The sequence below is a fragment of the Homo sapiens genome, chromosome 17, assembly GCF_000001405.40.
Source record: "Homo sapiens chromosome 17, GRCh38.p14 Primary Assembly".
Classification (NCBI taxonomy): Eukaryota; Metazoa; Chordata; class Mammalia; order Primates; family Hominidae; genus Homo; species Homo sapiens.
In genome coordinates, this window is record NC_000017.11 from 56,323,349 (window position 1) to 56,346,457 (window position 23,109).

General features: G+C 38.0%; 1 protein-coding gene across 14 annotated transcripts in view; it reads left to right on the top strand.

The window, feature by feature from the left end:
• Window positions 1-23,109, top strand: part of ANKFN1 (ankyrin repeat and fibronectin type III domain containing 1) — a 470,940-nt gene that overhangs the window by 277,272 nt on the left and 170,559 nt on the right. For 13 of the 14 annotated variants that reach the window (XM_047435502.1, XM_017024263.2, XM_011524430.3 and 10 more), the window contains one exon: window positions 2,873-3,007. Coding sequence is in view for 8 of the 14 variants with exons in the window: in XM_017024263.2 (XP_016879752.1) it covers window positions 2,873-3,007 (135 nt within the window). In the remaining 6 variants the exon portion in view is untranslated. Of the gene's footprint in view, window positions 1-102; window positions 195-2,872; window positions 3,008-23,109 lie in introns of those variants that run through there. The other variant, XM_006721728.4, reaches the window with a different exon arrangement.

Consider the following 23,109-nt stretch of genomic DNA (forward strand, 5'->3'; position numbering starts at 1 on the left):
TCCTAAAACAAGACTGTGATCATTTAACTCCCTGTTCAAGTGTTTGATGTTCAATGAATCAAGCATCAAATAATTGCAGGCTTATGCTAAGAGTTATAGAGCACCAGTCTGCAGAGACGAGACGAACTCCAGGAAACAGCCAGAGAACAAAAAGGAAGAACATCCTGTAAAAGTGCTAGGAAGTGGGAGACAAAGTAAGAGTGTGATCAATATGGGCTGAGATTAATCCAGAAGGATTAATTGGAGGAGGCAAGCCTTCTGTGGATGGTCACTTGGCAAGAAAGATTAGACATACCAAGAGAACTTTAAGGTTCCTTTCAATTCTGAGACCCCATTTCCCATTATTACTTGAGGTGATTTATGTATTCATTCAATAAATACATGCTAAGCACTTCAACAAAACATCAAATATTTATTGAATGCCTTCTATGTGCCAGGAACTCTGCTAAACCCTGGACATACAGCAGAGAATAAGAGACTTTGCACTTAAACTCTTACAATATAATGGGGATGACTGATGCTAAACAATGAAGTGCAATAAAATATAAGGGATATAATGATGGCAGAGTATAAGGTGTCGTGCTTTCAGACCACAGAGCAGGGACCCTAACAGCCTAGGGGCTAGAAAAATATCTCTGAGAGTTGATGTTTAAGCCAAGATTCCAAGGCTGTACGGGAGTTAGCCAGACATAGGAAACTGAGCATCCAGGCAGAAGAACACCCATCATATTTGATGATCTGGTATTCAGAAAGAATATAGCATGTCCAAGGAACTAAGAGATATTCAAAATAGCTACAGCATGGAATGCAAATAGAAAGGTGGTGAGAAATTTGGCTAGAGAGATAGGAAGAGCCAGAATATGGGAAATTTTTCTAGGGTATGTCAGGGAGTTTATACTTCATCAATAGGCTCTAAGTAACGTTAAAGTATGTAGCACAATGAATCTAACCTACTAAATACTTACTAAATGTCTATTGAAGAGTAGACTAATGAATACATGGATGAATTAATGAATTTCCTTTGCAATAAACATGGGCTTTTTGACTCAACTTGAGTATTTGCTCTAGAAAGTGTTGCTACTATTATCAGTGGCACTCTCCCCTTAGGTCTGCATGGCACGTGTAACTCATGACCCCTGTGAGGCAACCCCCTAACCTTAGTAGAGTTACTCAGTCACCTAGCTTACCACAGCAGATGTAATTCAAGTAAGTCTGCATTCAAGCCAAAATTTTTCTAGATGAAAGGGTAAAGTTTTACCTGGCAATCATTTTGGCCTAAGGTGTGCAAGAGAAGCCGGACTCTTTCTTAATCCTTGATGAAAAACATAGCCCTCTAAACCTCAAGGGCATGAATATTCCTAAATTAGATTATTCATAGCAACACTTCCATGGACAAATAAATCCAAGGATAGAAAGTGATAGTAAATGTTCGAAGGAGAGATTTTGCCTTTTTAATAAGAAAAGAAAAAGTAAGACAATTGTTAAAAGCTAAACCAAGCTCTTCCTTTGGCCACCCAGGTTTTATGAGTCACTGAGCCCTGCCTCAGATCGGAACTCCAGAACAGACACCTGTTGGGGGTGAGCGAGCTATCAGGGGGAGATAATGTCTCTAGAAAGGGGGAGAGTTTCATGAATACAAGATGTCATTTCCAGGATTCTAAGCAATTACCAGGCCAAAGATTAACTCTCCACCCTCTTGTTTATGATCAAGAGACTTTCTCCTGACTTGCTACAGAGTCTCATTCAAAATTTGAGAGTTTATTTGGCTCCAGGTATAAATAACAGACTAGTCAGTGCCTAGCAGAAGAGTCCAAAATTACTCCTGAAGTCATCACAGCAGCTAAACATTCATTTGGCAGAGAAAGAATCAGAACAGAGCTTTAGAAAGATTCTTAATGCTGTTGCTAGTGTCGCTGTGTGTGTGTGTGTGTGTGTGTGTGTGTGCACGTGTGCAGTATTCATATGTGCTATCAATCGGCAAGTCCCACCCCTCAACATAATAAACAGCCTGTGAAGGTCATTTGCCATTTTATTTCAGTGAGAGCCATTAAAAATGCCTACATATGCAGCTTTCTAGGAAATCTATTTGTGTCTTTCATTAGTCATGTAAAGCACAATGCTGTGAAAGGAGCCGGGTATACCCATATGTGTCTGGCATAGAAGCAGCACTGGAATCTTCTTCCTGAGACTGAGCCTCTTGCTGTCCTAAGTCCCACATCTGCTGACTACTTTCTCAGAACCCGCTCAGACAAAAGCCCATGCACAGCTTCAGCAGCCCTGACTGGATTTAGAGCTTTCTTAAGATGCCCCCTAGCTCCTGCTAGGAGCTTATAAGGAATTGCGCAGGTGCCCTGTGGTGAAGGGATGTGACGGCCACTTGTGTGCTTCTGGTCCCAGACGGCTGTGGAAACAAGGCGGTGTCTGGCCCCAGAAGGGCTGTAGATCATTTGCACTCACAGATTGCTGGATGAGCTCTTGGATGCCAGACAATATTTCTTTCCCTGCCGGTTGATGTAGTGACCCACTGCCCCTCTGCTCACCCCTGAGTGACAGTCGGTTCGGATTCAGTCTTGTTTACTATGTAGCTAGTTTTCTCCGCAAGCCGTTTCAAATGGTCCTCACGGATACAATAGGCTAAGCACACACTGAAGTCATGGTATCCTTTCACTACACGCACACAAGCTACAGGAATCAAGCCTTCCCCAGGCTGCAGTCTAGAGAATACACCTAGCCTCTGAGCCAAGCTGTTTACTTCTCCCTTTCTCTCCCTATGCATCATTTCCTCTTTTATTTTGCATTAAGAGTATCTTCATGATCATGGACTTCGGCTCTTGCCTGTAGTGATCCTGTTCGCATTTTATTCTTTACACAGAATAGGAAGGAGATTCGCTTGCTTTGCACAGAGGCTGAGCCACAGGAGAAAGCAAAGCCAATGTGATTTATTGAATGAAAGCACTGGACAATTACCAACAACTTGTTCCTCTGCTGCCTCGAACAGCATAAACTGGTAAGTCAAATTTACTGTTGTCTTTCTTCATGTGAATATGGAGCTTTCTTAATTACTGATTATTTTTAAATGTGTATATGTTGCTGTGGCTTAAATGATACTTAAAAATCTGCATCTTCCAAAGTTAGCTGCAGGTGGTCCATGAAGAATACACACAAGCACACACACACACAGTGGTCTGCAATTGTACATACACGTCCCTGTGGAGAGAGAGGATGGGGGTAGGGAAGCCCCATTTCTGATAATTGGGCATTTTGTTTGCAGTAAGCTTAATCACATTAAGTGCTTGCATAACTGATTAGCATTGGCTATGAAAAATAAATTACTGTTTTGTTGTATAAAATCATTTTCCAGTCAGGTTCCTGAGTACCTAACAAAACACCTGTTGGGTCAGGTAAAGATGGGTTCCATCATGCTGATAATCCTGAATGCAAACCCAGATATATTACTGTCTTTAATCCAATTTTCAGACTGGGCAAGCAGAGTGGAATGCCAGCACTCTGTTCATCCTGGGTGAGTGTGCCCATAAATAACATTATGACTGTGATACTGAGGATATCTGCCAAGGGAATCAATGGACATGTATTTAAATCCTTGCTTGATCCACCACTACTGTTGCATCTGTGTTATCTAAGTCTTTTCTTTATTTCATAAAGATATGGTTGCTGAGGTGTACTGGGTTCAAAGTGGGATGTTCTAAGTATCCAGTTACCCGTGCTGATCATTGGCCTGGTCACGGCCATCAGGAGCTCCACTGATAATCAAGACTGAATTTGCTTCTGTACTGGGCTCCAAAAATCCCCATACTCACTTGGTTTCTTCATTTCCTAAATAAGAGGTAGGCCAACCTCAGCAGATAGAGAAAGTGAATGTAGAAAGATCTTGCTTTTCTTACCACCATCCCCGCCCCCACCAGTCTCCTTAGTCTTTTGTTTGCCTGGCTACCCCAAGGCTTTATGGCAGCATCAATCCATCTCTGGTGAACTCAGAGTCCATATAAGTGTCATATAGAGTTTAATGTCTTTGGTGCACTCTATCTGCAGTATATCACTGGCTGTTCAGACAAAGTTGTGGCCTTGGGTGTGACAAAGATGAATGATGTCACAACAGTGAGCAGCATGCTTCTCTAAATAAAAACCAAAGTTAGGAAACTGGAGAGATGGGTGAAGTTTTGCCTGGTGGAAAGGATCTCCAAGCCACTCAATCACAAGAGCCAAGGTCATTCTCCCAGGTGATTTGGCTATTTCACAAATGATGGCATTCTAATAGCAAGGAGACCGAGTTGCCTACTGGTTACAGGAATGGTGAGATGTCAGGATAGTTGCATATTTGTGCTGGCTCCCAGATTAAAGATGTGTCTTTTGGAAATTTCCTTAGCCTCTGTGGATCTCTGTTCTGCCATTCCTTCTATTCCTAATTGTTTCAAAGAAGACATGCTAAACTCAGTTAATGTTTTCATGAGAAACTACTTTAGGTTCTTTTGTTAAATGATGAACTAAGTATTCAAGATCATTGTTCATGTACTTTAATCCAGAGGTCGTTCATCAGAAATACACAGATGAGGGTTTATGTGAGGATGAGGGGATACATGTCCCTTCCCTCATCTAAGGGATCCAGAACACTCTGAAGGAAGCATGATCACACTTAGGGAATTAGAAGAGGAGAATGGAGCTGAGAAGTGATGTTAAAAAAATTCAAATTCAAATAAATAGGTCATGTAAATAAAAAGGATTTTAAAAAATATTGATTAGTGATAACTGATTTGCTATACTTACGACCCCAAGATCCCAAAGATCATTAGTATTTTGAAACAAACATGGAAGTATTTTTTTCAGAGGGTAGTTCAGGTATGGGTATAATCCATGTATAGAACTTATGGCAACTTTCAGTTGCTCAAATTGCTCCTGTTCCCATGCATATGGAATTAGCAGCTGCAAATGTACTATGATTTGAGAAGCTCTAGAAGGCTTATTTGCACCCCCCAAAATTTGTCCCATCTCTTAGTATTAGGGCACCTGAAATTCTTTCATCAGAGACTCAATTAAGTATTGATGTCTTTTATAAAATTCAAACATTCCTAGGGGAAATAGTAAAGTAAGCCACTGATACTTTATGATAAATGAATGTATTAAATTGTTTCTACCTCAAAGGTAACCCAAAGGATGTGGAATTAGTATTCTATTAATTATTCTGCTTTGTATTTGCTTCATACCTGTCTCTAAGAACTTCACTTATAATTATTATTTCACTCTTCATCAGAAAAATAAGTACGCTTAGGGCAAGTTATTTCCTTCTTTTATGGAATATCTGGATTAGACAATACCATCTCAATTTCCTATAGGCTTTTGAGAGTCACATTGTGGAAAGCCAAACTCATTATCTTTTCCCTTTCTAAACTCACTTCTCTGCCTATGTTCCTTTAAAAAAAAAAGGGGGGGCAGGAATCTATCATGCACCCAGTCAGCTAATAAGGCTCACAGAATTTGTCACTGGGTTTCCTGATCTCTCTAGCCCCTTCATCCAATCACTAACAAAATGTAGTCTATTTTATTTCCTTCATCTTTTGAATCTGTCCAGCCCACCCCATCCCCATTGCCACAAGCTTTAGTTGAAGTCACCAGCTCTCATGGGGTAATTTTTTAAGAGCTCCATACTTGGTTGTCCCCCACCACTGTTCCTACATCCCTCCCCTTTCCAGCAATCCTCTAGCTGCTACCAGAGCAATTCTCTAAAAAAGCAAATCTCAATTTTTCCTTCAAAGTCTCCAATGCTGCCCTGTTGGGTACAGGTTAAAGTCTATGATTCTTATCATGGCATGCAAGTTCTTTGGTGGTCTGGCCCTGCTACCTCTTCAGGCTTCTTTCCAAAGGTCCTGGTGTGGTTGATGAAATGTACCACTGTGAGTGTCAAAGCCCAGAAAAACTTCATGGGGGCCCTCACTGGTACTGACTTACCAGTGACACCATGATGTTTCCCATCTCTATATCCTAAGCTGAACTATTATACCTAGAATGCCCCTTTTCCCCTTCCTGCTAGTTAATTCCTCATTCATCATTCAAAATCCTTCTCAGGCATCACTTTCTCTAGCCCATTTTCCCACAACCTCTTATCCAATGACCACATCCTGTCACACAGAAAGTTCATCACTCACCCCTCTGTGCTACTTCTATGTTTTAGGTTTTTTGAGAAAAGTGTTTAGAGGTTAAGATCTCAAATCTAGAATCATACTACCTAGGTTTGAATCCCAGATTTACTACTCTTTAATAGTGCCTCAATTTCTATCTGTGTAAAATGGAGATAATAATAGTCATTCCTTCACATGGCTATTATGGGATTCAATACGTTGATACATGTAAAAACACTGCAACACACTGAATGCTTATGTTTCTCCGAAAGCCAAATGTTGAAATCTTAACCCCCAAGGTGGTGGTATTAGGAACTGAGGCCTTCAAGAAGATATTAGGTCATAAGAACCCTGCCCTCATCATTGAAGTTAGTGCCCAACCCCAGAGAGCTAACTAGTTCCTTCCGCCATGTGAAGCTATAGCAAGAGGGTTCTGTGTTTGAAGCAGAAAGTCAGCCCTCACCAGGCACCAAATCTACTGGTTGCCTTGATCTTGGACTTTCCAGTCTCCAGAACTGTGAGAAATAAATGTTTACTGTTTACAAGCCACCCAGTTTATGGTATTTGGTTACAGCAGCCTGAAGGGACTAAGACAGGTATTATTCTAAATAGCACCTGGCTCATAGAAAGTGTTATAGAAGTGTATTAGTCTGTTCTCACACTGCTACTAAATGAAATGTATAAAGGAAAGACTGGGTAATATATGAAGTAAAGAGGTTTAATGGAATCACAGTTCCACATGGCTGTGGAGGGCTCACAATCATGGCAGAAGGCAAAGGAGAAGCAAAGGCATATCTTACATGGCGGCAGGCAAGAGCACTTGTGCAGGGGAACTCCCATTTAAAAAATCATCAGAACTCATGAGATTTATTCACTACCATGAGAATGGTATGGGGGAAACCGCCCCCACGATTCAATTATCTCCACCTTGCCCTGCCCTTGACATGTGGGGATTATTACAATTCAGGGTGAGATTTGGGTGGAGACACAGCCAAGCCATATCAAGAAATATAAGCTAGTATTATTAGTCCATAATTTCGCATACCACACTATTTCATAGCTATGCATTTGCATAACTGACTTCCTTTCTAGCGTATGAGCTCCTTGGGAACAGGTAGGGTAACCAGCTCATTTCAATTTGCCTAGTACTTTCCCAGTTTTAGCTCTGAAAGTACTGCATCCTGGAAACCCTCTCTCAGTCCTGAACAAACTAAGACAGTTGGTTACCCTATGTGGGATACTATCTTACTTACTTTTTAATCCCTTGGGTCTATCACAGGATACACAGGTTACAAAGTAGATCATCCATAAGTATTTGTTGAACTGTAGAATCAATACTAATCATCTTTCTATCCTCTTCTTCATAAATGTATGCTTTCATACTTCAAAAATAGTGTTCCTCTTGCCAAGGAGTTACTGCTGACTTTTCAAAACTTATCACTTAATATATATACATTAAAGTGCACAGGAACTAGAAAGGTGGCTTCCACTCTGTGTCATCATTGTAATAGGATTGGCCACCCTTTAGCACTCAAAGACACACCTGTTATGTTAACAGCAGGTGGGGAATGGAAAGAGTCTAACTTTCTTTTCTGCCTAGTGACAGGCAGGTTGAAGCCTTAAGGTCCCCTAGTTCACATCACAGCTAGAAAAGCAATCTTTTGCTTTTAGAAGCCAATTGCTTCTAGAGCTTCTCAAATCATAGTACATTTGCAGCTGCTAATTCCATATGCATGGGAACAGGAGCAATTTGAGCAACTGAAAGTTGCCATAAGTTCTATACATGGATTATACCCATACCTGAACTACCCTCTGAAAAAAATATTTCAATCCCAGTCAGAAATGTCCCTCTCACTGACTATATCTGTCTACCCACCTGTCAAGCATGGTTAGAACTCCTATTTTGAATATGCTATGTCTTACAACTGCTTCTCATCCAGACTGGCTCAGACCTTTTGTCATAGTACAAATATGCTGAGAAAGTCCCACAACCAAGCTCCACTGAAACATGAACTCTGGAGGTGCCAGAACTCACAACATGACAGGAAGTCTTGACTTCAGAATCAAGATCTAGGGAGATGAAGCTGACAGGCAGCCAGATCAAGTTCCCTTAGAAATAATAATAGCAGAGTTGTTGTAAGTATGGACTTTGGAGCCAGAGTTCAAATCCTGCTGCTCCATTTACTGGCTGTAACATCTTGGACAGGTTAGCTAACCTCTCTGGGCCTCAGTAAAATGAGAATATGGTCAAAGCAGCTATTTCCTCAGATAATTATTATTATATCTTGTTTTAGCATGTAAAAACAAAACTTAAGGTAAAGCCAATTGCAAATTATCTATTGGGTATTGGGAGATACAACCTCAGGGCATCAAGAGTGAAGAAAAAAGGGAAGTGAGTCAAGGAAGAAAGGAAAACAAAGGTGGCTGTAACTGAAATAGCACTTGCTTCACAAGAAAACACATCTTGTTGTTCTTTTATATATGTTGGCTTCCAGGTAGCCCTCAGAACAGTCTATAGCAAGCAATAGAGAAGAAATTATCTACTGGCTACTGAAAGTCTCCTGTGTCTCACTGGTCCAATGTTCTCCATTTTCGGTGGTGTTACTCAGTCTCTTAGGGTAGCCACAAGCAAAGCGAAGGCCTCCATGGGTCTTGTTGGGTCAGGGCTGCTGCAGCTACTGTCACAACAAGCATGATGGAGACCATATCAAAACACGCCCTCTCCCTGAGACAGCTGGTAGTTTAGGAGACAGGATGATGGCGGCAATCGAGGCTCTCTGCTTATGTAAGCAGCAAAGCCCAGGGAACAGGTGCTTGTGAAGCCAACATGAGGAGGCTCCACTCTGCACAGGCTACTCTTCCCATTTTGGACCTGCATTCTCCAGGCCAATGTACTATTTTTTTCCTATGTTTTGTTCTAAACATTTTATAGTTTTAGCTTTTACATTTAGGTCTAGGATGATCTATTTCAGGTTAATTTTTGTATATGATGTGAAATAGGGATTGAGGGTTTTTACATTTTTCAGTATGGATATACCATTGTTCTAGTACAATTTGTTGAAAAGATTATCTTTTTTCCTATTGAATTACCTTGACATCTTTTTCAGAGATGAATTGATCATATACGTACAGGTTGTTTCCTGGCTCTCTATGCTGTGTCATTCATCTATATTTCTATCTTTATGAAATTGTCTTTATCTATATGGCTAGCCTTAATCTAATCCTGTATGTCTTAATTACTGTAGCTTCTTAGGGAGTTTTGAAATCACATAGTGTAAGTCTTCCAACTTTGTTCTTCTTTTTCAAAATTGTTTTGGCTATTTTAGATCCTTTCCATTTCTGTAAAAATTTTAGAATCTGCTTGTCAATTTCTACTGAAATAAAAAGCCTGCTAGGATTTTGATTGAGATTGCATTGAATGTATATGTCAGTTTGGAAGAACTGACACTTTAACAATACCTATTCTTCCAATCCATGAACAAGGTGTGTATATATGTGTGTATATATATATATATATATATCTTCTTTAATTTCATTATTTAATATCATGTCATGTTCAGCATCCAGGCTTTTCATAAGTAGATTTTTATAGATTTATTAGATTATTCTATGTAAACTTTCATGTTATCTGCAAATGAAGACTATCTCATTTCTTTCTTTCCAATATATATGTCTTCGACTTATTTTTCTTGCCCTACTTCACTGGCTAGGATGCCCAGTACAATAGAAAAAGTAGGAGTAGACATTTTTGCCTTGTTTCTGATCTTAGATAGAAGAGCTTAGTCTTTACTCATTAAGTATGATATTGGCTATAGGTTTTAAAATATTCTTTTAATCAGATTGAAGAGGTTCCCTTACATTCCTGAAAGATTTTTTTACCATGAATAAATGTTGTATATTATTAAATCCAATTGCTTTTTATGAATCCATAGAGATAATCATATAGTTTTTCCTCCTTGTCCTCTCTTTTAATATATTAAATTACATTGACATTAATGGGTAGATAAATGTTATACTAACCTTGCCTTCTTGGAATGAACCCTGCCTAGTCGTGATGCATTATCCTTTTTATAATATACATTGCTGGATTTAATTTTGCTAACGTTTTGTTGAAATTTTTTGCCTCCATGTTCATGATAGACATTGGTCCATACCTTTTTTTTCATGTCTTGCCTTTTTCCTGGTTTTAGTATCAAGGCAGTACTAGCCTTGAAAATGAAGCCAAAGTTTTGGAAGAGTTGTATGTCGAATTGGTATCATTCCTTAAAGGTCTGGTAGGCTGTAACATTTAACATGACATTTATTAAAGATTTTAGGATAAAGTATTAGCATACGGAAAAAGAAAATGTAAAACTAGAAATTAACATTCCCATAAAAGGTGGTCTCCTAGCTAATATCTCCTAAAGCCTGGTCCTATAGCCAAGTTGTAGAGACCAGCCCACCTTTGACCAACCGTGTGTTTCCCTCTCTTTGGAACTCGGGTCCCCTACATCTTTATTAAGGAAGAAAATGATACATCTTGTTGCTTAAAGCAAACCCCATGGGATTTAATTTCATTATTAAATATTAAGTATTATTAAATTAAAATAACATCTAACAATTGAATAAATGAATAGTGGCATATCCATACAATGGAATACGTCTCAGCAATAAAAACTGAAGGACTACTGACACGAAGAGTATAGATGGATCTCAAAATGTTTACGCTGATTTAAAGAAGGTGGATTTTAAAAGTGTGCATACTGAATATTCCATGTGTATATTCAAGAAAATGAAACATGATCTATAGTATCAGCAAGAATGTTGATACTTCCCTAGAAACTGTGGGGGCAGTGAAGGGATTTTAATCAGGGGAGGGGGGAAAAGATTACAAAAAGACACAAAGAAACTTTTAAGGATAATGTATATGTTCATTATCTTGATTGTGACAAATGGTTTCATGAGTGAACACTTATGTCAAAGCTAATCAAATTGTACTTTTTAAAACATGCAGTTTATTTTATGTTAATTATACCTCAAAAGACCTGTTAAAGGATAATAACTAATATTTATTGAACACCTATTTTTTCAAGCACTCTGCTAAACAATGTATACGTATTTGCTCATTTAAAATTCTGATATCCCTTTTTGGACAATACATGACTACTATTAACATGAGGAATAATGTTAATTATGAGGAAATTGAGGTTCAGGGAAGCTAAATAAGTTGCTCAAGGTCATACAGTTAATAAGTTAAAAAGTCAAAACATAAATAAAGTTCAATCAGTGTTATATCAGAGCCATACTTTTAATACTGTGCTTAAAACCACCATAAAGAATGGAATAAAATATCCTGAATGGTATTGCCTAGGTTTTCTTCTAGGGTTTTTATGGTTTTAGGTCTAACATTTAAGTCTTTAATCCATCTTGAATTAATTTTTGTGGAAGGTGTAAGGAAGGGATCCAGTTTCAGCTTTCTACATATGGCTAGCCAGTTTTTCCAGCACCATTTATTAAATAGGGAATCGTTTCCCCATTGCTTGTTTTTGTCAGGTTTGTCAAAAATCAGATGGTCGTACATGTGTGGTGTTATTTCTGAGGTCTCTGTTCTGTTCCATTGGTCTATATCACTGTTTTGTACCATGATGTTTTGGTTACTGTAGCCTTGTAGTATAGTTTGAAGTCAGGTAGCATGATGCCTCCAGCTTTGTTCTTTTTGCTTAGAATTGTCTTGGCAATGCGGGCTCTTTTTTGGTTCCATATGAACTTTAAAGTAGTTTTTTCCAATTCTGTGAAGAAAGTCATTGGTAGCTTGGTGGGGATGGCATTGAATCTATAAATTACCTTGGGCAGTATGGCCATTTTCACGATATTGATTCTTCCTAACCATGAGCATGGACTCTTCTTCCATTTGTTTCTGTCCTCCTTTATTTCGTTGAGCAGTGATTTGTAGTTCTCCTTGAAGAGGCCCTTCACTTCCCTTGTAAGTTGGATTCCTACATATTTTATTCTCTTTGTAGCAATTGAGAATGGGAGTTCACTCATGATTTGGCTCTCTGTTTGTTATTGGTGTATAGGAATGCTTGTGATTTTTGCACATTGATTTTGTATCCCGAGACTTTGCTGAAGTTGCTTATCAGCTTAAGGAGATTTTGGGCTGAGATGATGGGGTTTTCTAAATATACAATCATGTCATCTGCAAACAGGGACAATTTGATTTCCTCTTTTCCTAATTGAATACCCTTTATTTCTTTCTCTTGCCTGATTGCCCTGGCCAGAACTTCCAACACTATGTTGAATAGGAGTGGTGAGAGAGGGCATCCCTGTCTTGTGCCAGTTTTCAAAGGGAGGGCTTCCAGTTTCTGCCCATTCAGTATGATATTGGCTGTGGGTTTGTCATAAATAGCTCTTATTATTTTGAGATATGTTCCACCAATACCTAGTTTATTGAGAGTTTTTAGCATGAAATGCTGTTGAATTTTGTCAAAGGCCTTTTCTGCATCTTTGAGATAATCATGTGGTTTTTGTCGTTGGTTCTGTTTATGTAATGGATTACGTTTATTGATTTTTGTATGTTGAACCAGCCTTGCATCCCAGGGATGAAGCCAACTTGATCTTGATGGATAAGCTTTTTGATGAGCTGCTGGATTCAGTTTGCCAGTATTTTATTGAGGATTTTCGCATCGATGTTCATCAGGGATATTGGTCTAAAATTCTCTTTTTTTGTTGTGTCTCTGCCAGGCTTTGGTATCAGGATGATGCTGGCTTCATCATAAAATGAGTTAAGGAGGATTCCCTCTTTTTCTATTGATTGGAATAGTTTCAGAAGGAATGGTACCAGCTCCTCTTTGTACCTCTGGTAGAATTCGGCTGGGAATCCATCTGGTCCTGGACTCTTTTTGGTTGGTAGGCTATTGATTATTGCCTCAATTTCAGAGTCTGTTATTGGTCTATTCAGAGATTCAACTTCTTCCTGGTTTAGTCTTGGGAGGGTGTATGCGGCCAGGAATTTATCCATTTCTTCTAGATTTTCTAGTTTATTTGTGTAGAAGCGTTTATAGTATTCTCTGATGGTAGTTTGTATTTCTGTGGGATCGGTGGTGATATCCCCTTTATCATTTTTTATTGCATCTATTTGATTCTTCTCTCTTTTCCTCTTTATTAGTCTTGCTAGAGGTCTATCAATTTTGTTGATCTTTTCAAAAAACCAGTTCCTGGATTCATTGATTTTTTTGAAGGGTTTTTTGTGTCTCTATCTCCTTCAGTTCTGCTCTGATCTTAGTTATTTATTGCCTTCTGTTAGCTTTTGAATTTGTTTGCTCTTGCTTCTCTAGTTCTTTTAATTGTGATGTTAGGGTGTCGATTTTAGATCTCTCCTGCTTTCTCTTGTGGGCATTTAGTGCTATAAATTTCCCTCTACACACTGCTTTAAATGTGTCCCAGAGATTCTGGTATGTTGTGTCTTTGTTTCATTGGTTTCAAAGAACATCTTTATTTCTGCCTTCCTTTCGTTATTTACCCAGTAGTCATTCAGGAGCAGGTTGTTTTGTTCCCATGTAGTTGTGCAGTTTTGGGAAAGTTTCTTAATCCTGAGTTCTAATTTGATTGCACTGTGGTCTGAGAGACAGTTTGTTGTGATTTCTGTTCTTTTACATTTGCTGAGGAGTGCTCTACTTCCAACTATGTGGTCAATTTTGGAATAAGTGCGATGTGGTGCTGAGAAGAATGTATATTCTGTTGATTTGGGGTTGAGAGTTCTGTAGATGTCTGTTAGGTCCACTTCTTGCAGAGCTGAGTTCAAGTCCTGGATATCCTTGTTAACCTTCTGTCTCGTCGATCTGTCTAATATTGACAATGGGGTATTAAAGTCTCCCATCATTATTGTGTGGGAGTCTAAGTCTCTTTGTAGGTCTCTAAGGACTTGTTTTATCAATCTGGGTGCTCAGGCAAGGACTTCATGACTAAAACACCAAAAGCAATGGCAACAAAAGCCAAAATTGACAAATGGGATCTAATTAAACTAAAGGGCTTCTGCACGGCAAAAGAAACTACCGTCAGAGTCAACAGGCAACTTACAGAATGGGAGACAATTTTTGCAATCTACTCATCTGACAAAGGGCTAATATCCAAAGAACTGAAACAAATTTACAAGAAAAAAAGCAACCCCATCAAAAAGTGGGCAAAGGATATGGACAGACACTTCTCAAAAGAAGACATTTATGCAGCCAACAGACACATGAAAAAATGCTCATCATCACTGGTCATCAGAGAAATGCAAATTCAAACCACAATGAGATACCATCTCACACCAGTTAGAATGGCGATCATTAAAAAATCAGGAAACAACAGATGCTGGAGAGGATGTGGAGAAATAGGAACACTTTTACACCATTGGTGGGAGTGTAAACTAGTTCAACCATTGTGGAAGACAGTGTGGGGATTCCTCAAGGATCTAGAACTAGAAATACCATTTGACCCAGCGATTCCATTACTGGGTATATGCCCGAAGAATTATAAATCATGCTATATAAAGGCACGTGCACACGTATGCTTATTGCGGCACTATTCACAATAGCAAAGACTTGGAACCAACCCAAATGTCCATCAATGATAGACTGGATTAAGAAAATGTGGCACATATACACATGGAACACTATGCAGCCATAAAAAAGTATGATTTCATGTCCTTTGCAGAGACATGGATGAAGCTGGAAACCATCATTCTCAGCAAACTATCACAAGGACAGAAAACCAAACAGCGCATGTTCTCACTCATAGGTGGGAATTGAACAATGAGAACACTTGGACACAGGGCGGGGAACATCACACACCAGGGCCTGTAGTGGGGTGGGGAGCTGGGGGAGGGATAGCACTAGGAGAAGTACCTAATGTAAATGATGAGTTAATGGGTGCAGCAAACCAACATGGCACATGTATACCTATGTAACAAACCTGTACATTGTGCACATGTACCCTAGAACTTAAAGTATAATTTTAAAGAATGGAATAAAATGTAATGATAGACTTCAACCTGTGGGTTTTTCAGTGAAAATGGCTAATAAGGAACGCTCTCTTAAGAGTGATATCCCAGATTTAACACAACAGATACAGTTTCCTTGTCCAGTCTTTTTAAAGGACTCTATATTTATTTTACCTGCCGTATATTTATTTAACACTTGAGGTTTCTTTTTTTCAGTTCAGTTTAAAGTTGCAAAGAGTACCGTTGCTATCCATTTCAAGATACTCTTATGGATGCTATAGAGATTACATGATGTATTATTCAAGATCCCAGCAAGAATCATATAGTGCATTCAAACAGAAGAACAGAGGGGAGGTTACTAATAAGAACACTTACAAAAGAATGGGCAAGTTAGTGAAAACCAGTAAGGAATGGTAAAGCCTGAAGGGACAAAAGGAGGAGCAATTTCTGTAATGCAGAGGAAATAAGTTGTATTGAAAGGGATACCCCACAGATGAAGAGGGGTAAATATCACTACCTTACTCTCCAATTTCCAGCCAGTGCCTCCCATTGGGTGGGCAATATCAAGGCTTCTAATCCATGAACAAGGAATGTCTTTCTATTTGTTTATATTTTTCTTAATTTATTTCAATGGTGTTTTGTATTTTCTGAAAATTAGTTTTTTTACTTCTTTTGTTAAATTTATTTCTAAGTATTTTAATCTTTTGATGCTATTGTAAATTAAATTGTTTTCTTTATTTCATTTCCATTTCATTGTCATTTAAATCAGAAAGGAGAAAAAATACAAAAATAAAAGATAAGTTTATGCTCTCTTTATATTTATACTGTATTTTATATTTTTCTGTATAATTTCCTTCTCGATGCTTTCTCTTTTTTAACTTTGGTTTAAGTTCAGGGTATCAGTGCAGGTTTGTTATATAGGTAAACTTGTGTCATGGGGTTTTGTTGTACAGATTGTTTCATCACCCAGGTGTTAAGCCTAGTACCCATTAGTTGTTTTTCCTGATCCTCTCCCTCTTCCTATCCTTCACCCTCTGAAAGGCCCCAGTATCTCTTGTTCCCCTCTATGTGTCCATGTGTTATCATTTAGCTCTCACTTATAAGTGACAACCTGCAATATTTGGTTTTCTATTCCTGTGTTAGTTTGCTAAGGATAATGGCCTCCAGCTCCACCCATGTCCCTGCAAAGGTCATAATCTTGTTCTTTTTATAGCTGCATAGTATTCCATGTTATATGTGTACCACATATTCCTTATTCAGTCTATCATTGATGGACATTTAGGTTGATTCCATGTCTTTGCTACTGTGAATAGTCCTGCAATGAACATATGCATGTATGTCTTTATAATACAATGGTTTATATTCCTTTGGGTATATACACAGTATTGGGATTGCTGAGTCAAATGGTATTTCTGTCTTTAGGTCTTTGAGGAATCACCACACTGTTTTCCACAATGGCTGGACTAATTTACACTCCCACCAACAGTGTATAAGTGTTCCTTTTCCTCCACAAACTTGCCAGCAACTGTTATGTTTTGACTTTTTAATAGTAGCCATTCTGACTAGTGTGTGATGGTATCTCATTGTGGTTTTGATTTGTATTTCTCTAATGATTAGTAATGATGAGCTTTTTTCATATGATTGTTGGCTGCATGTATGTCTTCTTTTGAAGAAAAAGTGTCTGTTCATGTCCTTTGCCCACTTTTTGATGGGGTTGTTTGTTTCTTGTAAATTTGTTTAAGTTCCTTGTAGATGCTGGGTATTAGACCTCGTCAGATGTATAGTTTGCAAAAAATTTCTCTTTTTCTGTAAGTTGTCTGTTTACTGTGTTGATAGTTTCTTTTGCTGTGCAGAAGCTCTTTAGTTTAATTAGATCCCACTTGTCAGTTTTTGCTTTTGTTGCAAATGCTTTTGGCATCTTCATCATGAAATATTTGCCCATGCCTATGTCCTGAATGACACAGCCTAGGTTGTCTTCCAGGGTTTTTTTTATAGTTTTGGGATTTACATTTAAGTCTTTAATCTATCTTGAGTTAATTTTTATATATGATGTAAGGAAGGGTTCCAGTTTCAGTCTTCTGCTTATGCCTAGCCAGTTATCCCAGCACCATTTATTGAATAGGGGATCCTTTCCCTATTGTCTTTATCAACTTTGTCGAAGATCAGATAGTTGTAGGTGCACAGTCTTATTTCTGGGTTTGCTATTCTTTTCCATTGGTCTATGTCTCTGTTCTTGTGCCAGTACCATGCTGTTTTGTTTACTGTACCCCTGTGTTATAGTTCAAAGTTGGGTAGCATGCTGCCTCCAGCTTTGTTCTTTTTGCTTAGGATTGTCTTGACTATTCGGGCTCTTTTTTTGGTTTTATATGAATTTTAAAATAGTTTTTGCTAGTTCTGTGAAGAATGTGAATGGTAGTTTAATAGGAGTAGCATTAAATCTATAAATTGCTTTGGGCAGTATGGCCATTTTCATGATATTGATTCTTCCTATCCATGAGCATGGAATGTTTTTCCATTTGTTTGTGTCATCTCTGATTTATTTGAGCAGTGGTTTTAGTTCTCCTTGTAGAGATCTTTCACCCCCCTAGTTAGCAGAATTCCTAGGTATTTTATTCTTTTTGTGACAGTTGTGAATGGGAGTAGATTCCTCTTTTGGCTGTTGGCTTGACTGTTGTTGGTATATAGGAATGCTAGTAGTTTTGGCACATTGATTTTGTATCCTGAGACTTTGCTAAAGTTGTTTATCAGTTTAAGAAGATTTGGGGCTGAGACTGTGGGATTTTCTAGATATAAGATCATATCATCTGCAAACAGGGATAGTTTTGACTTCCTCTCTTCCTATTTGAATGCCCTTTCTTTCTTTCTGTTGCCTGATTGCCTTGTCCAGAACTTCCAGTGCTATGTTGAATAGGAGTAGTGGGAGAGGACATCCTTGTTTTATGCCGGTTTTCAAGGGGAATGCTTCCAGCTTTTGCCCATTCAGTATGATGTTGGCTGTGAGTTTGTCATACATGGCTCTTATTATTTTGAGGTATGTTCCTTCAGTACCTAGTTTATTGAGAGTTGTTAACATGAAGAGATGTTGAATTTTATCAGAAACCTTTTTTTCATCTATTGAGATAATCATGTGGCTTTTTTTCTTTAGTTCTCTTTATGTGATGAATCACATTTATTGATTTGCATATGTTGAACCAACTTTGCATCCTAAGGATGAAGCCTATTTCATCATGGTGGATATACTTTTTGATGTGCTGCTGGATTTAGTTTGCCAGTATTTTGTTGAGGATTTTTGCATCAATGTTCTTCCAGGACATTGGCCTAAAGTTTTTTTTTTTATTATAGCTCTGCCAGGTTTTGGTATCAGGGTGATGCTGGCCTCATAGAATCAGTTAGGGAAAAGTCCCTCCTTTGCAATTTTTTGGAATCGTTTCAGTAGGAACGATACCAGCTTTTCTTTGTACATCTGGTAGAATTCAGCTGTGACTCCATCTGGCCCTGGGCTTTTTTTGCTTGGTAGGCTATTTATTACTGCATCAATTTCAGAACTCATTATTGGCCTCTTCAGGGATTCAGTTTCTTCTTGGTTCAGTGTTGGGAGGGTGTATGTGACCAGGAATTTATCCATTTCTTCTAGATTTTCTGGTTTATGTGCATAGAGGTGTTTATCATATTCTCTGATAGTTGTTTGTATTTCTGTGGAGTCAGTGGTAATATCCCCCTTATAATTTCTGATGTGTTTATTTGAATATTCTCTCTTTTCTTCTTTATTATTCTAGCTAATGGTTTATCTTTTTTTTTTTTCAAAGAAAAAGCTCCTTGATTAATTGATCTTTTGAATGGTTTTTCATGTCTCTACCTCCTTAAGTTCAGCTCTGATTTTGGTTATTTCTTGTCTTCTGCTAGCTTTGGGATTTGTTTGCTCTTGGTTCTCTAGGTTTTTTTGTTGTGATGTTAGGTTGTTAACTTGAGATCTAACTTCTTAATGGGGGCACTTAGTGCTGTAAATTTCCCTCTTAACACTGCCTTAGCTGTGTCCCAGAGATTCTGGTACATTGTATTTTTGTTCTCATTAGTTTCAAAGAACTTCTTGATTTCTGCCTTAATTTAATTATTTACCCAAATGCCATTCAGGAGCATATTATTCAATTTCCATGTAATTGTATGGTTTTGAGTGAATCTCTTAGTCCTGAGTTCTAATTTGATTGTAACGTGGTCCAAGAGATTGTTTGATATGATTTCAGTTCTGCATTTACTAAGGAGTGTTTTACTTCCAATTATGTGATCAATTTTAGAGTAAGTACCATGTGGTGATTAGAAAAGTGTATATTCTGTTGTTCTGGGGTGGAGAGTTCTATAGATATCTATCAGGTCCATTTGTTTCAGTGTTGAGTTCAGGTCATCTTTGTTAATTTTCTGTCTTGGTGATCTGTCTTATACTGTCAGTGGGGTGTTAGAGTCTCCCACTGTTATTGTGTGGGAGTCTAAGTCTCTTTGAAGGTCTCTAAGAACTTGCTTTATGAATCTGAGTGCTCCTGTGTTGGTTGCATATATATTAAGATATTTAAGATAGTTAGACATTCTTGCTGAATTGAACCCTTTACCATTATGTAATGTCTTTCTTGGTTTTTGTTGTTGTTCTTTGTTGGTTTAAAGTCTGTTTTGCCAGATAGTAGGATTGCAAATTCTGCTTTTTTCTGTTTTCCATTTGTTTGGTAGCTTTTCCTCATCCCTTTATTTTGAGTCTATATGTGTCATTGCTCAATTATTTATCTTTCTTCATGTGGATTTGCATTACTATCTAGTGTTCTTTCATTTCAACCTGAAGGTGTCGTGTTTGTGTTTATTGTACAGTAGGTATAATATCAAAGTTTTTGTTTATCTGGCAGTATCTTAATTTCCTCTGTATTTTTGAAATGTAGTTTTGTTGGGTAGAGAAATTCTTGACAGTCTTTTTTGTTCATCACTTTGATTATGTTTTACCACTTCTTTTTGGCCCCTGTGATTTTTGGTGAAAATTAGCTGTTAATCTTTTTGAGGATCCTTGTAATGTGATGAGTCTTTTCTCTCTTGCTATCTTTAACTTTCTCTCTATGTCTTTGGCTTCTAATGGTTTGATTTTGATGTATCTAGATGTGGCTCTCTTTGAGTTTATTCTACTTAATGTTCATTGAGCCTGTTGATGCATAGTTAAATAGGGGCATATTTTGGCCATTATTTCTTCAAATAGCCTTTCTATACCTCTCTTCTTCTCCTGGGACTCCTATTATTTGTATATTGGTATACTTGACAGTGTTCCAAGGATCTCTGCACTCTTCACATTTCTTCATATTTTTTCACTCCTCATACTGGATAATCTTGATTGATCTATCTTTATGTTTGCTGATTCTTTCCTCTGCCTGCTCAAATCTGCTGTTGAGTATATTTTTCATTTGTTAATGTACTTTTAAATTTTAGAATTTCTATTTAGTTCTTGATTTTCTTCATAATTTCTATCTCTTTATTATATTTTCTATTTGGCAAGACATCATTCTCAGAATTTTCTTTATTTCTTTGGGTATGGTTTAGCTCTTTGAACATATTTAAAATAGCTAATATAAAGGTCTTTGTGTAGTAAGCCCAATATTTGGGCTTCTGCAGGAATCATTTCTATTGACTGCTTTATTTCCTCGTATGGGACATAGTTTCTGTTTCTGTACATGCCTCATACATAGTTTTCTTGAAAACTAAGCATTTTATTAATGATGTAGCAACTCTGGAAACTATATTACCCCTTCTCCCCAGTGTTCATTGTTGTTTAATGAGTTTTCAGAATTAAATTTGTAAAATCTATATTTTTTTGTTATATGTGGCCACTGAAGTTGCTACTTGGTTAACTTAGTGGTGAGTTAATGATTGAACAGAGATTTCCTTAAATGCCTAGAACTGATAAGCATCCTAGTTTTTGCTGAAGAGCTCTGCATGTGTGTGTTGGGGCACACCTTCAATACTCAGCCAGGCAGCTGAAAATACCACCTTAGTCTTCACTTCCTGCTTGCAGAGCCATGAAGTCAGACAGAGATGAGATTTTAGGATCTTCTCAGGTCTTTTCTGAGCATGCTCCCTGCCCTGTAGTCTGTTAGATTCTCAGGAAAATGACAGAGCTTTTCAAAGCTCTCTGTGGACATCTAATTCTCCATCTAACATAGTTAAACTACTGTTAAACAATTACTAATCTTTGTTTTTGGAAAGAAAAAAAAACAACAGAAAAAAAGGCTATTAGCCCTTCATGAGCTCTAAGTCAGAGCGAATGAAGATAAGCCTTGTGAGTAGGATTTTCTAGAAAACCCCCAGACAGATGAAATAATGACAGTTCTCTGGAAGAGGCATTTTAAAGGAGCTACAACCCCATTCTGCCCCCTTCCAGTGGCTGACAGGCTACTGTTTTTTTGTTTGTTTGTTTGCGTGTTTTTTAATTTTACTTTGTGTTCTGGGATACATGTGCAGAATGTGCAAGTTTGTTACATAGGTATACATGTGCCCTGGTGGTTTGCTGCACCTATCAACTCATCATCTAGGTTTTAAGCCCCGCATGTATTAGGTATTTGTCCTAATGCTCTCCCTCCCCTTGGCCACACCCACCGACAGACCCCAGTGTGTGATGCTTCTCTCCCTGTGCCCATGTGTTCTCATTGTTCAACCCCACTTATGAGTGAGAACATGCAGTGTTTGGTTATATGTTCCTGTGACAGTTTGCTGAGAATGATGGCTTACAGCTTCATCCATGTCCCTGCAAAGGACATGAGCTCATTCTGTTTTATGGCTGCGTAGTATTCCATGGTGTATATGTGCCACATTTTCTTTATCCAGCCTATCATTGATGGGCATTTGGGTTGGTTCCAAGTCTTTGCTATTGTAAACAGTGCTACTATAAACATACATGTGCATGTGTCTTTATAGTAGAATGATTTATAATCCTTTGGGTATATATCCAGTAATGGGATCACTGGGTCAAATGATATTTCTGGTTCTAGATCCTTGAGGAATCACCACACTGTCTTTCACAACAGTTGAACTAATTTACACTCCCACCAACAGTGTAAAAGCATTCCTGTTTCTCCACATCCTCTCCAGCATCTGTTGTTTCAGGACTCTCTAATAATTGTCATCCTAAATGGCATGAGATGGTATGTCATTGTGGTTTTGATTTGCATTTCTCTAATGACCAGTGATGATAATCTTTTTTTCATATGTTTGTTGGCCACATAAATGTCTTCTTTTGAGAAGTGTCTGTTCATATCTTTGCCTACTTTTTGATGGGGTTGTTTTTTTCTTGTAAATTTATTTAAGTACCTTGTAGATTCTGGATATTAGACCTTTGTCAGAGGGGCAGATTGCAAAAGTTTTCTCCCAACCTCTAGGTTGCCTCTTCACTCTGATGATAGTTTCTTTTGCTGTGCGGAAGCTCTTTAGTTTGATTAGCTCCCATTTGTCAATTTTGGCTTTTTTTGCAATTGCTTTTCATGTTTTAGTCATGAAGTCTTTGCCCATGCCTATGTCCTGAATGGTATTGCCTAGGTTTTCTTCTAGGGTTTTTATGGTTTTGGGTTTCACATTTAAGTTTTTAATCCATCTTGAGTTAATTTTTGTATAAGATGTGATGAAGGGGTTCAGTTTCTGTTTTCTGCATATGGCTAGCCAGTTTTCCCAGCACTATTTATTAAATAGGGAATCCTTTCCACATTGCTTGTTTTTGTCAGGTTTGTTGAAGATCAGATGGTTGTAAATGTGTGGTGTTACTTCTGAGGTCTCTGTTCTGTTCCGTTGGTCTATATCTCTGTTTTGGTACCAGTACCATGCTGTTTTGGTTACTATAGCCTTGTAGTATAGTTTGAAGTCAGACAGCATGATGCCGCCAGCTTTGTTCTTTTTGCTTAGGATTGTCTTGGCTATACGGGCTCTTTTTTGGTTCTAGATGAAATTTAAATTATTTTTTTCTAATTCTGCCAAGAAAGTCAATGGTAACTTGATGGGACAGGCCAC